This window comes from Homo sapiens, chromosome 14 (assembly GCF_000001405.40).
Source record: "Homo sapiens chromosome 14, GRCh38.p14 Primary Assembly".
Classification (NCBI taxonomy): domain Eukaryota; kingdom Metazoa; phylum Chordata; class Mammalia; order Primates; family Hominidae; genus Homo; species Homo sapiens.
Window position 1 is genome coordinate 50,799,485 of NC_000014.9, and position 16,654 is coordinate 50,816,138.

The following is a 16,654-nucleotide window of genomic DNA, read 5'->3' on the forward strand; positions in this document are numbered from 1 at the left end:
GGTAAGATTAGTGTAATGACGTTATCCAGTTCGTCACCTCAGAAACTGGAGCTGCTCTGATCTTATTCTTGCCCCAATTTTCTCATTAGTCTCCTTTCCCTGCATCAGTGAGCTGATGTGAGAGGAACACACTGATTTTCTAGGATTCCCTGTAGAAAACCGTCATCCTCATGTCCCGTTTGGAAACCTTCTTATATATCCACTAAGGTTGAAATAAAATATAGACATGGCTCACGCCTGTAATCCCAGCACTTTGCGAGGCTGAGCCAGGCAGAGGTCAGGAGTTTGAGACCAGCCTGGCTAACATGGCGAAACCCTGTTTCTACTAAAAATACAAAAAATTAGCTGGGTGTGGTGGTGCATGCCTGTAATCCCAGCTACTCGGCAGGCTGGGGCAGAAGAATCGCTTGAACCCGGGAGGCAGAGGTTGCAGTGAGCCGAGATTGCACCATTGCATTCCAGCTTGGGCAACAAGAGCAAAACTCCGTCACAAAAACAAAAAACAAACAATATATATACACATACACACACACACACACACACACACACACACACACACACACAACTCCCAAGTAAACTGTTTCATTATCAAAATTCTCACCAGCCCTATTTATTTAATTTTAAATTACATGAGTATTTCTTGCACATATACATATTTTTAAGTTGCCTTTTACCCTTAGTAAATTTCCCACATAAGTATTCTTTCATAGCACAGTTTAATAGCTACTTAGTCATTGTTTACATAGATAGAGCACGATTTGCCTATGAATACACTGTCTAATTTCTTCACTTGCTTTATACAGGCTGACTATCCATTATCTGAAAGGCTTGAGATCAGAAAAAAGTGTTTCAGATTTTAGGAAATCTGAAGTATATCAGTTGAACAACCCAAATCTCAAACTCTGAAATCTGAAATGCTCCAATGAGCATTTCTTTTGAGTATCATGTTGGTGCTTAAAAGTCTTGGATTTTGAAACATTTCATATTTTTGGATTAGGGATGCCCAACATATATATTTTTTCACTACTTTAAATGACTAACCTTATACACACATTTTTATGTACATCTATAATTATTTACATAGCATAAAATCTGAGAGTAGCATGGATTAGCCAAAAGCATTATTACAGTTCTTGGTGCCTATTATCTTAGGTAATCCTAGAAAGGTTCTATCATTTTACAAAACATCAGTGGGGATGAGTGTTTCCAATTTCAGGATTAGAAGCACAATCCTAATATCCTCTTTTGTTGTTGTAGTTGGCACTGGTGGTGGTAGTGGTTTGCTTTGCTTTTTTCTTTGCTTTTTTTTTTTTTTGAGACGGAGTTTCGCTCTGGTTGCCCAAGCTGGAGTGCAATGGTGCAATCTCGGCTCACTGCAACCTCCGCCTCCTGGGTTCAACCGATTCTTCTGCCTCAGCCTCCTGAGTATCTGGCATTACAAGCGTGCACCACCACGCCCAGCTAATTTTTGTATTCTTTAGTAGAGACGGGCTTTCACCATGTTGGTCATGCTGGTCTTGAACTCCTGACCTTGTGATCCGGAGTGATCCCACCTCAGCCTCCCAAAGTGCTGGGATTACAGGCATGAGCCACTGCGCCCGGCTTTTTTTTTTTTTTTTTTTTTGAGACAGAGTCTCGCTTTGTCACTCAGGCTGGTGTGCAGTGGTGCGATCTCAGCTCACTGCAACCTCTGCCTTCCAGGTTCAAGCGATTCTCCTGCCTCAGCCTCCCGAGTAGCTGGGATTACAGGCGCCTGCCACCACGCCCAGCTAATTTTTGTATTTTTAGTAGAGACGGGGTTTCACCATGTTGGTCAGACTGATCTCAAACTCCTGACCGCAGGTGATCCACCTGTCTCACCCTCTCAAAGTCCTGGGATTATAGGCGTGAGCCACCGTGCCCAGCCTGTTTTGCTTTTAACTCTTGGAGAAAACTTCTGGTCCTCACTGTTAGCATTTCATTGATGCCAGCAGAACAGGGACTAAGTTCTTACTTACCTTACTTAACCAACAGAAGACAACAGAACGAGCCTTTGGGCCATCTGTGTGTAATATCTCCTAAAATCAGGGACTTCAGCCAGACTTCAGTGCCTAACCCAAGGCCTCTGAACATAGTTATAAACACAAATCTTCAATCACTGAAATCAATAGCTAGCCTAGTGACAGGCCATAAGACCTGGTTCAAGGCACAATTGCTGAGTAAATGAAAAAATGTCTGTTAACTGTATGTATCACTTCTTCAAAATATAAAGAAAATAATTACAATTATGGCAGTCCTTGAAACTAGGAAGGTCTGTTACAATGAAACAATCATCTGTACCAAAACAATGCCTGGTCCTATTTTTCTAATGAGTTGGCTTTTTCAAACCTGAGGTTTTCCCCATGAATAAACAAAGAGACATTTCCAATGAATCACATCAAGGAAGAAAGAGCTTCCTGCATTATGCTAACATCTACTAAAGAACAGAAATCTAATGCAAGATGCATCAAATGAGGACAAAATCTCTGGAGAGAGGATCCAGCTGGCATGTTGATGCCATGTAGCTTGGAGCTTGTGCCAGCATTTCCATTACAAAAATCCTATAATCCAAAGCCACGGCAAATTGAATAAATAGCTAATAATTAAGTTGTTGCCCCTCTCCTATTCCAGAAAAATAATTTAAAAATTAGATTGTACACATAGATATGAAAGAATTATGCCACTGGCAATGCTAATCAGTTTGGAATTTACAAAAGACTTCCTACATCCCAATCCATTTTTCTGCCTTTATCTGAATTTCAATATTTTTCACTGTGTTGTTATTATTATAAAAATTGCTTTTTAGGGGAAAAACGCTAAGATTCTTAGAATTATAAATATCTGAGTTAAAAAGATGCTGAAAATAATCTAGTCCATATCTCCTGATTCTAAAAATAAAGAGACTGTACCTCAGAGGAGTTATAAATGGCAGAGCCCAAGACTATAGAAATAACTTAATTTCATCTCCTCTCAAATCCCATGAGAGCTTTGTTTTTATAGAATTTATATACAACTGCCTTTTATTAGGAGGCTATAAAAACATGAGATATACTATGCATTTGTCCTTGGGAAGAAGAACTTTATAGTTTCAATGAATGTTAAGTAAAATCTTACATAAACACAGGCTAGCATTCTTCATAGATATGGATAATGTCATTTAGATATTAGGAGGCAACACCATCAAATCTTGGAGCTGAAGGATTTTATGTATTTTTTCAGCACAACCACTTTCACATACAAGGTGACCAAAGACCACTAAGGTCATGATATATAAGATCACCTGATTAGAGGGACAGAACCAGCATTTCCTAACTCCTCACTCAAGGGTGGCTCTATTAAATCAAGCTGACTTTTCTATATTATAGTCTGGTGCAATATCTTATATTTTAATTTATAAAAATCTTTGGTGTTATAAAATATCAATTCACGGCCCTCTTGGTTTCTAAGGCTGAGCACTATGGTCCCCCTTTTATTTTCAGTCTCCTTCTATGGTGTAAAGGTAACCTTTTATCTCAAAGACTACCATCTCCATTGATTTCAAAAAGGCAAAACAAAAATAACACAGACCTCGCCGGGCGCAGTGGCTCATGCCTGTAATCCCAGCACTTTGGGAGGCCGAGGCAGGTAGATCACAAGGTCAGGAGTTCAAGACCAGCCTGGCCAAAATGGTGAAACCCCATCTCTGCTAAAAATACAAAAAAATGAGCCAGGCGTAGTGGTGGGTGCCTGTAATCCCAGCTACCTGGGAGGCTGAGGCAGAGAATTGCTTGAACCTGGGAGGCGGAGGTTGCAGTGAACTGAGATTGTGCCACTGCACTCCAGCCTGGGCAACAGAGTGAGACTCCATCTCAAAAAAACAAAAACAAAAACACAGACCTGGCCCCTTCTGGTATAAGATGAACTAAGCATAACCAGCCAAATAATGCAGAGGACACAGGCATCCCTGTCCCTAACGATCAGGTAAAACTTGCTTTTCATTTATTCCTCTCTGCTGCCTCTGGCCACTTGTCAGACCCTTTTGGCCAGGCTGCACTGACCGAAGACTGGCTCACCCATTTGAAAGCTAAAATCCTCAACCTAAAGCCTTCTTGAATCACATCCCTTGGTGATACAGTGTAAGCCCCTCCTCTGCCACTAGCTGTAAGACTTCAATTAAGCTACGTCCCTCTTTGGGCCTCTAATTGCTCATGGATGAAATGGCAGGGTTTTCTCCAGCCCTAAAATGCTATATGATCTATGATTTAAGGGATAGTTACTTCCATAAAGGGAGAGGGAGAGGTAAATGAAGGTGGCCTGTTGATGTACTGCATTTGAATCCTGACCCTACTTCCTCTGTCTCTGCCCAGCCAAACCAGTCTGCCTGCAGCGGGGTAGAGTCACTTTTTTTTTTCTTTTTTCTTCTTTTTTTTTTTGAGATGGAGTCTCACTCTGTCACCGAGGATGAAGTGCAGAGGCGTGATCTTGGCTACTGCAACCTCCGCCTCCTGGATTCAAACAATTCTCCTGCATCAGCCTTCTGAGTAGCTGGTACTACAGGTGCCTGCCACCACACCTGGCTAATTTTTTGTATTGTTAGTAGAGACGGGGTTTCGTCACGCTGGCCAGGCTGGTCTCGATCTCCTGACCTCAAGTGATCTGCCCACCTTGGCCTCCCAAAGTGCTGGGATTAGAGGCATGAGCCACCGCACCCAGCTCAGAGTCACATTTTAGAGTGAGTGGAAGAATGTTTGAGTGGAAAGAACTGCACGATCCCCACGAACAACTGGAGGGGCCAAGGAGAAATTGGCAAAAGACAGAAAAAGCAGAGATGCTCAGGAACAAAGCAGGGAATGTGGGAGGAAAGGCTGACTCATGTCTCAAAGCACAGGCTCAATCCTAGGTTTTATCCTGCCAGGACAAATGTTAGGGAAGTCATAAATGCTACAAGAAATGCTATCAATAAGTACTTTTCTGCTGCATTACACTGAGGTGGAGCAGTTTTGTGACGAAGACTTACTGCCTACCCAAAGGATGGAACACACAGCAAAACTATAAAAATCCCTTCTGTGTGTCTTCCCGGAAGACTTGTCCAAATTATGATCTTTGCCTGCATAGCAGTGAGGCAGACACATAACTATGAAACCACCATCTGGAGCCAGATTTATAAATATTACTTCCTGGCTGGGACCAAGCTCAACCAGCCATTGTCTAGCTCAGGGATGTCCAATCTTTTGGCTTCCCTTGGCTACACTGGAAGAATTGTCTTGGGCCACACATAAAATACGCTAACACTAATGATTGCTGATGAGCTAGGAAAAAAAAAAAAGGTCCATGCATAAATGTCATAATGTTTTAGTTTTAAGAAAGTTTACAAATTTGTGTTGGGCCGCATTCAAAACTGTCCTAGGCCACATGCAGCCCATGGGCCGTGGGTTGGACAAGCGTGGTCTAGCTCATCCTACTGCTCGGATCCCAACAATGTACAACTCTGTGCGGGGACCCTTCACATCTGTAGTCACTATAATCTGTATATTTATTATAATTTTCTGGCAGGTGACAGTGACAGTACAGGTTTTGAAGAAATGGCAGCAGGAGGATCATGTGGATTAGCGGCAGGACCGCCTGTTCCAAATCCACATAAAAGCACATTATCAGCACACAGAACCCTGAAGTTATGCTTATATTACCTATGCTCACGTTAGCTAATATCTACCCTGGCGGTGATGTCAACCATAGCTCTATTCAGGCCCCCCAGATGTCGCACCATTGTCATCAAGATGACAGACAACCTTAAAAAAGTGAAAACACCAATAAAATGAGACCATATAAAAACACAAAAGTCCATATTCTAGCAGCGGTCACCTGTGGAAACGCTAATGTTTGTCTGGAAAATTTCAAGAATGCAATAACCTCCCTCTCAGGCTCACTGGGGGCTTCCAAAGAGCTTTATCAAGTATCAGAGTTAAGAACAACATTGCTAGGGGTGTCACCATCCCCGAAAAAGGCGGAGACTCAATCCAGAACCTAAAACACTGCTAAAGGCAGTGTCCATACACACAACACAAATCTGGAGCACTTCAGAGGGCAGGATGAAGAACTAGATCACCCGGCAAGGGTGAGAAATGAGCTCCCATCTGTGCCTCACCTAAATAGGTCACAGTGAATGACTCCTTGTAGTGACAAAATCTTAATGATTTATGCTCAGTTTCAAAACTGGACTATATTTTTGATGTTCTCTTTTTTAAAGTAGGGTTTATTGAGGTATAATTTACATAGAGTAAATTTAATCCTTTCATTGCACAAGTCTCTGGGTTGGAAAAACTCACACAATCCTGTAACTACTAGCACCATCAAGATATAAAAGTTTCATTGTCCCCCAAATTCCTTCATGCCCCTTTGTAGTCAACTCCTGCCCCTACCCCAACAACCACTAATTTGATAAAACCAGACTGTACTGTAATATAAATTTCCACAGTTTTTAGACTTTCCTTTACACATCTACCATATTTCATTGATTTGAAGACACCTCCCCCCTACACACACCAGATTTAGACACTCTGAAATGAGAATTTACAATTAATGTCATTTTACATTACAATTGGCAACAATTTTTGTTTTTAGAGATACATGAAATAACAATGTGTCTTACAACCTATGGTGCTTAGAAAAAAATCAGTGAAGTATAATATTAAGTCTTTTATTTCGAAACATTCATTGAATACTTACTACATGCTAAGCATTCTTCTAGGCACTGGAAATACAAAAATGAACAGCATGGTCCTCAAGGAATTATCACTTGAGAGGAGGAGACAGATAATTATAATGTAATGTGATAATGTCTACAGCAGAGCATGATCCACTCACTACGACTAAGTAAAATTATCTCTAGACTGGTCACTCTTCTACCTTCAGGAAAAAATTTCCCCAAATCATATCCTTCCATGTACAAGGAAACAAGGATGAAAGCAGTTACCATTCAGCTTCACTCTACTCATTCCAAGAATGAGTTATTGCCTAGAAACAATCCAATTATTTTCTCCATAATACTATGCTGCTGTAGTAGAGAAGTCTCATTTTAGTGTTCAACAGCTGCAAAGCTTTTATGATAATATTGAAGAGAAGTCACCGAAAATAACTGCTCAATCTGTGAAAGGCAGATGTCCCCAATCCTTCATATACATGCTTCAAGGTCCCCAGATTCTTCCCCGGACAACTTTTAAAGGGGAAGGCAGAGAAGAGAAGTGAGTGACCTTACCTGGTTCTTGAAAGTGTTCTTCATTTGACAGAGTTCTGGACAAGATGAGTATTAATGCTTCTTTAAATTGGTCAAAATGTACCTAAAAAAAATTAAAAATAGATTTAAAGTAATTTCCACAGCTCTAAGAATGCAAACCTATCTACAAGGTACCAAAACTGTTTTCTTCCCATCCTGACAGCCTTGAAGTGAGTCATAATCCAATTTGTTGCCCTTTTCATTTCTCTAAAGACAGAAGGGAAAATAGGCTGATCATTTTGACACCTCGTGCCGTAAACATTCATATCGATATTTATTCACCCCAAAGGAAAAAAGCTATATAGCAAAATCCTCTTTATAAACTCAGAAAAAGATATATTTTAAACTCTTAGCTGCTTTTATTTTTCTGAACAAGACCAGAAGAGAAAGACGTTAGGCTAGACATTAGAAAAGCCTTCCCAAGCAAATGATCCAATGTAACGATGTCCCAAAGATGCTTTCGTATCTTGAGATATTCTAGAAGGGAGTAAGCTGTCTTTTGAGGATGACTTGAATATAGTCTTCCTTGAGGGAAGGTATATAATATTTATTTCCCAAGGCCTCTGTGATTCCATAAATAAGCAAAAATCAATAGCAAATGCACAAAGGATAAAAGAATCTTAAGAAGTATTTTCCTGAATTCTTAAAAAATAGAGTTATCTTGACTGAAGTTGGAAAGAACCTGAGTTTTATTTAAGTAAATAGTCAGAACTAGGATATTACTTTGTTGAAAAGGTAAAAGCATTTTCTTTATGGCCAAGGATATTCTATAACTTAGATGTATGTAATCTCACCTTGGGATTTCTTCTCATCACAATTCTAGTTTGATAATGTGGCACCTATTGACATAGAACCCCCATGTAAATACAAAACTGGTAAATTTGTAGTTTGTTCTGCTATGGGATGGGTCTGTTTGGATGTCATTACAAAACACTGCCTAGAGGTTTAATATAGGTGACAGATAAACTTCCAAATCAAATTTACAAAAGCAGCAAACTTCATTAGTTATTGAAACAGTGGACAAAAAATCATATCATGTCTTATCTATGCAAATCAAAACAAAAGAGAGGAATTCATTTATATGTCATAAAAGATTTATATGTCATAAAATTGTATCTCCTTGCAATTTACCACACTCTTCCAAAGTATATGTGATTTCTCTACCATGTTAGTTTTGATTGATTGGAATTACTTACTGAAATCATTAGATTATATTGCATATATTTAAGGTGTACAACCTGATGATTTGATATATGTACACAATGTGAAATAATTATCACATTCAAGCTAATTAAAATATACATCACCTCACATAGTTACCTTTTTACAGGCTTAAAAAATCTACGTAATCTAAGGAGCCAGAGCAGAAGTCTGTCAAGGAAAACCAGGCACCTGCTGAAGATCCAGGGAGGCACAATCTTTGAAAGGGTAAACGACTGTAGAAAGGTAGGCTATGTTAATTAGGTTTCACAGCCAAACATCCTGGGGGAGGGAGGGGCGGCCAGGTCCTGCTACTGTCCCAGAGTCAAGGATAGGCTCCAGTTAACATGCGCAAGGCCAGCTTCCCAACCAGCCAGTTCACAAACATCATGCACTCAAGAGCTCTGGCACTCAGGCCACTTGACGGGCATCTGTGAATTTCTACAGAATCATTCATTCTTCTCAGGGAAGCCAGGAACAGGGTTAGGAGGACACACAAAGGCTTTATAGCTAGGTGGGTCCAGGCTCTAACCCTAGCTCTTCCTTCACTGCCTGATGTGAATTGGAGACATTACGAAGCCTCTCCAAGCCCTAGTTTGTCTGTCTGGAAAACTGGGGACATCTAACAACTGATATTTATTATTCATTCAATAAATATTTATTGAGCAGCTGCTCTATGCCAGGCATTGTACTTGGCCCTGGTGACACAGTAGTGAATGAGAGTGACAAGTCCCTGTGCCACGATGCTCATAGTCTCAGGAAATGTCACAGAGAGTCCAGGCAGCTGCTAAGAGCACTGCATGTATTTTATGGTATTTATAATACCGCTTCCCTGTGTTAGGAAGATAAAATGAGAATTGGGTAAAGTATCAAGAATGTCCTGGGACTGTTAGATGCCCAGCAAGTGGTAGTTAATACTACCAATAGCTATAGTAATAGGGGTGACTGACTGTTCCCATTACTTTTATAAAGAATCAGGGCCATGGCCAGGCACAGTGGCTCACGCCTGTAATCCCAGCATTTTGGGAGGCCAAGGCAGGTGGATCACTTGAGGCCAGGAGTTTGAGACCCGCCTGGCCAACATGGTGAAACCCCGTCTCCACTAAAAATACAAAAATTAGCTGGGCATGGTGGTGCGCACCTGTAATCTAAGCTACTTGGGAGACTGAGGGAGGAGAATTGCTTGAACTTGGGAGGTGTAGGTTGCAGTGAGCTGAGGTCAAGCCACTGCACTCCAGCCTGGGTGACAAGAGCAAAACTCCATCTCAAAAGAAAAGAAAAAAAGAATCAGGGTCATATTTTCAAGCAAAGCTAATAGCCATGAGAGTGACCAAGATAGCCAAGAGTGAGTGGTGGGGGCGGCGGCAGGGAGGTCTGAGGGCCTGCCTTCTCCTCCAGGATCTGCAGAGTTGCCCAGCATCAAAGAAACTGATCCAGTTTGCTATATTTAGGGACCTGTAACTCTAGGTTTCCTCTCTCTCTTAAGGATATTAATGGAGGGGACTGAATGAAACGTAAGTCTCTCCTTGCTAGAGTTACAAGTTGAACATGAAGAAGGTTCTCTTTCAAAAGGAAGGTGTTTGGAAGATTTCAGATTCTTTAACTTGACTCTGTGAGTCTCCCCAGGGTCTTCTAAAGGCGTAAGTTTTGATGGAGGCCATTGGAAATAACCTTCCTGAATTTGGTCCTCACATAGTTCAATTCATTGTTTGAAGGTCACTCAGTAGTGCATGTACCTGAATTTTACTTTCCCTGACACATGACAAAGACATCTATAATCTGGAATTAATTCTAATTAACTTCCAAGGCTTTACATGAGGCCTAAGTATCCCTTGAATATGGTATGACAAACACACAAGCTTTTGAGACTGTATAAGCTTCATTTATATGGAGTTTATTTCACAGCCTCACCTATCTAGAGTACTACAGACAACCAGGAAAGAAACACATGGGATCAAAAGCTGAGGGAGGTGTCATAAAGCCCAGGCACTCATCCTGTAGAAAATGCTACAGGACTCTGTAATCCCAGCACTTTGGGAGGCCAAGGCGGGTGGATCACGAGGTCAGGAGATCGAGACCATCCTGGCTAACACGGTGAAACCCCATCTCTACTAAAAACACAAAAAATTAGCTGGGCGTGGTGGCGGGCGCCTGTAGTCCCAGCTACTCGGGAGGCTGAGGCAGGAGAATGGCATGAACCCGGGAGGCGGAGCTTGCAGTGAATGAAGATTGGGCCACTGCACTACAGCCTGGGCGACAGAGTGAGACTCCGTCTCAAAAAAAAAAAAAAAAAAGAAAATGCCAAAGGACCAACTCAGTATTTTCCACATTCCTACTCTACCTGATTATTATAAACTTCATAATCCTGCTTCCCAACTCACTGCAGATTGGAAGCAGGAAATAAAAGACAGGGGCACTCCAAGCTAAAAGTACAAGGAGTAATTATTAACATATTAGCCAGGTGTGGTAGCGTGCACCTGTCATCCCAGCTATTTGGGAGGCTGAAATAAGAGAACTGCTTGAGGCCAGGAGTTTGAGACCAGCCTGATAACACAGCAAGACTCCATCTCAAAAAATATAAAATAAAAAGAAGCAATTATTGACATATTGAGATGGAGGAAAGATATTAACCATCCTCCTTCAAACAAAAATAAAGTATAATACTTCTTACACTTTACAAAGGTGTTTTTAAAACTCTATTTTTTTTAATTAATTATTTTTTTTTGAGATGGAGTCTGGCTCTGTTGCCCAGGCTGGAGTGCAGTGGCGTGTCTCGGCTCACCGCAAGCTCCGCCTCCTGGGTTCACGCCATTCTCCTGCCTCAGCCTCCCGAGTAGCTGGGACTACAGGCGCCCACCACCATGCCTGGCTAATTTTTTTTGTATTTTTAGTAGAGACAGGGTTTCACCGCGTTAGCCAGGATGGTCTCGATCTCCTGACCTCGTGATCTGCCCACCTCGGCCTCTGAAAGTGCTGGGATTACAGGCGTGAGCCACCGCGCCCAGCCTTTAAAACTCTACTAAAAACTACATAAACTATAAAAAAAGACAACATGTGCATTCAAAAACTTAATAGGCCGGGGTTGTCTGGTGTTGGGGCATGTATCCATGCTTAGTGTTGAGGCAAGGATTCATTAAGTGAATCCTGAAGCTATTACTTTTTTTTTTTTTTCAGATGGAGGCTTGCTCTTGTCACCCAGGCTGGAGTGCAGTGGCGCAATCTTGGCTCACTGCAACCTCCACCTCCCGGGTTCAAGCAATTCTCCTGCCTCAGCCTCATGAGTAGCTGGGATTACAGGCGCCCACCACCACGCCCAGCTAATTTTTGTGTTTTTAGTAGAGACGGGGTTTCACCATGTTGCCCAGGCTGGTCTCAAACTCCTGACCTCAGGTGAGCCACCCGTCACGGCCTCCCAAAGTGTTGGGATTACAGGTGTGAGCCATCGCGCCCGGCCTTGAGGGTATTACTCTTACAACACAGAAGAAAAACTAATGGGTCAGGAGATTTGAAATGATCAAGAACAATCTAGTTGTATTTAATACACTCTTGTATATGATAAAACTAAAATTTTAAATCCCCAATGGTCAAGCTTTTTTTTTTTTTTTTTTTTTTTTTGGTCTACCATTAAATGGGGCAAAAGATCCAGGTATTAAACAATTTTATGGGCTTTTGCAGTGGCTCACACCTGTAATCCCAGCACTTTGTGAGGCCAAAGCGGGCTGATTGCCTGAGCTCAGGAGTTTGAGACCAGCCTTAGCAACACGGTGAAATCCCATCTCTACTAAAAAAATTTACTCTGGGAGGCTGAGGTGGGCGGATCACAAGGTCAGGAGATCGAGACCATCCTGGCTAACGTGGTGAAACCCCGTCTCTATTAAAAATACAAAAAATTAGCCAGGCGTGGTGGCGGGCGCCTGTAGTCCCAGCTACTCGGGAGGCTGAAGCAGGAGAATGGTGTGAACCCGGGAGGCGGAGCTTGCAGTGAGCCAAGACTCCGTCTCCAAAAAAAAAAAAAATGTAGCTGGGCGTGGTGGCAGTGCCTGTAGTCCCAGCTACTCAGGAGGCTGAGGCAGGAGAATCGCTTAAACCCAGGAGGTGGAGATTGCAGTGAGTTGAGATCACGCCACTGCACTCCAGCTTGGGTGACAGAGCGAGACTCTGTCTCTGAAACAAAAAATTTTTTTTACGAACGTGGGTCATGGATAATGCTAGATGAATGACGATATTATCGTAGGTTCATTCTTTCCTAGACATTTTGTCATTTGAATCTCACAATATTCATGTGACACAGTCAAGGCAGAGACCCTACCTCAAAATTGAAAGGTGAGAGGTAGAAAAAGCATGCACCAGGACTCTGACTGGACTCATCAGAGCCCAGCAAGCCTGCCTGGCTCAGGCCCACTTCCCTCTTGGTCTGACCCCTCAGGGAAATCCCTTGCTGCTGGAAGTCAAATCCTCAACTTTCACACGAAGCCACCAGGTGTAAAGCACACACCAAGTATAAGGCAGGATCAGGAGATACATGATCAAGAAGACACATAACCTCTGCCCTCAAGGAGTTTATCAGCTACCCCATAGATTCCAGAAAGTGGAAGGGTGGAATGGGGAAAAAGAGAGGAAGGTTTATTAGTAACTACAAGATAGAAGCTGGTATGTGCCTGAGAGAGACAAAAGCTGGTAGGGGCCTCTGATAAACAAGCATGTCCTACTTGGCCAATAGGGAGGAAAAGAGGGACAGTTTTGCAACGCTTGAATTCTCTCAAATCTTCACAGACAGAGATTAAAGGTCTCCGAAATTTATTTATGATGTAGTAAATCAGCCTCATTTTAGATGAAAAGGGGCTCTATAAAAGATTAAACAGGATTATTAACTCAGAGGCTCTTCAGAGCCCAATAACGTCTACTTGGTTGAATTCCTCTTTTTCCAACAAACAGTCCGAAAATTCACACACCACATAGCAGCTGGCCCAAACCATTAGAGCAGCTTAAGTCTTGCATTGATCTTTATTTTCCTTCTTGCAAGTGTAGACACTGGGCCCTTGGATTTAAATAGCAGTAAATGCCTCATCTTTCAAAGAGATAGTTCTCTTGTGGAGGAGGCGACCGCTATTTTCCATCAATGCTCATGAATACTGATGTGGTGGAAAAGCCCCTTAGGACACAACCCAGAACCGAAATGTTGATGAACACCCCCACCGGTGGGCTAACTATGTTCAGCAACTGCAATGTTTTAAGTACCATTTTTCTCCTCCAAGGGAGCTTTACTATTGTATTTTGTTAAAAAGTAGAAATCTTCATAAATATACAATACAATTAAGTCTCACAAGGTAACAAGTTTCCAAGTTGTGCATACACTGGTTGGTACCTCTTCATTTGAATAATAATTGCTGCCATTCATTTTACAAGCATTCCTATACCTTGTATGCCTCAACGGGCAGTTTGCAGCAATGGGAAAATTACACGACTGACGAAAAATACACATGACATTTAAACTAAATTAAGAGGAAGACCAGTCAAGTCTGATATTTTTTGTCATGTGTCACCACCTCTTAGGAGAAATTTACCTCATTACTTTTCCTCTTCACATTTCATATGAATGCTTTTTTAGAAACGCAATTTGCTTTTTTTTGAAAAAGAACTTAAGCACCACACAAGAAACAAATTCAAACCACACACACAAAAAAACCCTGTAACAGGAAGTGGAATAAGGAAACTAATGTTGCATAAACTCATCTCGTGCAATCATGGAGATCAAATGCAGTTTCCACATGTGTGCAGGCACTACTGGAAATAGACCCAAGGTGGGAGAACTCAAACTAGCACTGAACAAGGTGAGTTTATGAAACAAGACAAAGGTCTATGTAACTAATACAAACTTAGTAGATTTGTCTTTACTAATATAAAGAGAAATTAATGAAAGAAGATTCAAAACACTGTGTTAATTGAAACAGCTACAGAAATATGGACTTATCAGAAGTCAATGCACAGGAAAATGCTTACAGCATTATGCAAAGAGAAATGACATAGACTAAAAAAGAGGCAGTTTCATAATGAAAGATACACTTATATTTTATTTTAAATAAAGTATTCAGGTCATTGTAACTTGAATTGTTAACTTCATATTATTATATTTAATATTCATTTATTAAATTATAATATTGTAACTTAATTTACTGCAGACAATGTAGAGAGAGGCAAAGGCTATTTTAAAAGGTAGGTTTATAAAACCTAAAGCAACTATATGAAGCTGTACTCCAAGACTGGTCCAAGGAATCCTGTTTACAGATGGAAATGAATTCAAATCACCACCACGCAAGAGAACTTCTAGCAAATCTACTCTTCACTCTAACCATGTTTCTTGGTAAATCATTACTAGGAAGTCACTATTTATCAAAGAGCCATTCTGGGTGTGTAGAGGGTAGGGGAAAGGAGCATACAGCCAAATACAGCAAGTTAACGGTGTCCTTGGTGCTATGATAAGCCTTTGATACACACAAATCTTAGTCCACCTTCATCACAGTCTTGTAAGGGAAATAGTCTTCCCATTACACTGATGAAAAATCTGAGGCTCAGAGTATTTAAGATAACGTGTTCATATGGTTAAAAAGTGGCAAGAGCTGAATAGCCAAGACAATCCTAAGCAAAAAGAACAAACCTGAAGGCATCACGCTACCCACTTCAAACTGTACTACAAAGTTACAGTAACCAAAACAGCATGGTTCTGATAGAAAAACAGACACATAGACCAACAGAACAGAATAGAAAACTCAGAAATAAGACTGCATACCTACAACCATCTGATCTTTGACAAACCTGACAAAAACAAGCAGTGGGGAAAGGATTCCCTATTTAACAAATGGTGCTGGGAGAACTGGCTAGCCATATGCAGAAAATTGGAACTGGACCCCTTCCTTACACATTATACAAAAATTAACTCAAGGTAGATTAAAGATTTAAATGTAAAACCCAAAACTATAAAAACCCTAGAAGAAAATCTAGGCAATACCATTCAGGACATAGGCATGGGCAAAGATTTCATGACAAAAATGCCAAAAGCAATTGCAACTAAAGCAAAAATTGACAAATGAGATCTAATTAAACTAAAGAGCTTCTGCATAGCAAAATAATCTATCATTAGAGTGAACAGACAACCTACAGAATAGGAGAAAATTTTTGCAATCTATCCATCTGACAAAGGTCTAATACCCAGACTTTACAACAAACTTAAACACATTTACAAGAAAAAAACAAACAACCCCATTAAAAAGTGGGCAAAGGACATGAACAGGCACTTCTCAAAAGTAGACATTCATGCAGCCAATAAACACGAAAAAAAGCTCAACATCACTGATCATTAGAGAAATACAAATCAAAACCACAATGAGATGCCACCTCATGCCAGTCAGAATGGCAATCAATAAATAGTCCAGAAACAACAGATGCTGGTGAGGTTGTGGAGAAAAAGGAACACTTTTATGCTGTTGGTGGGAGTGTAAACTAGTTCAACCATTGCGGAAGATAGTGTGGTGATTCCTCAAAGATCTAGAGGCAGAAATACCATTTGACCCAGGAATCCCATTACTAAGTATATACCCAAAGGAATATAAGTCATTATATTATGAAGATATATGCATGCATATGTTCATTGCAGCACTATTCACAATAGCAAAGACACTGAATCAACCCAAATGCCCATCAATGATAGACTGGATAAAGAAAATGTGGTACATATATACCATGGAATACTATGCAGCCACAAAAAGGAACAAAATCGGTGGGGCATGGTGGCTCAGGCCTGTAATCCCAGCACTTTGGGAGGACGAGGTGGGCGGATCTTGAGGTCAGGAGTTTGAGACCAGCCTGGCCAACATGGAGAAAGCCCATCTCTATTAAAGATACAAAAAATTAGCTGGGCGTGGTGGCATGCACCTGTAATCCCAGCTACTCGGGAGGCTGAGGCAGAATTGCTTGAACCCAGCAGGCAGAGGTTGCAGTGAGCTGAGATTGCACTATTGCACTCCAGCCTGGGGCGACAGGGCGAGACTCCATGTCAAAAAAACAAAACAAAATGAACAAAATCATGTCCTTTGCAAGACATAGATGGAGCTGGGAGCCGTTATCCTCAGCAAACTAAAGCAGGAACAGAAAACCAAACACCGCATGTTCTCACTTATAAGTGGGAGG

At 41.2% G+C, this 16,654-nt stretch overlaps 1 protein-coding gene across 31 annotated transcripts in view; it reads right to left on the reverse strand.

The window, feature by feature from the left end:
- The window catches only part of NIN (ninein), a 111,741-nt gene that overhangs the window by 79,722 nt on the left and 15,365 nt on the right, over nt 1-16,654 (reverse strand). For all 31 annotated transcript variants that reach the window (XM_047431452.1, XM_047431439.1, XM_047431453.1 and 28 more), the window contains one exon: nt 7,253-7,334. Coding sequence is in view for 26 of the 31 variants with exons in the window: in XM_047431442.1 (XP_047287398.1) it covers nt 7,253-7,334 (82 nt within the window). In the remaining 5 variants the exon portion in view is untranslated. The remainder of the gene's footprint in view (nt 1-7,252; nt 7,335-16,654) is intronic.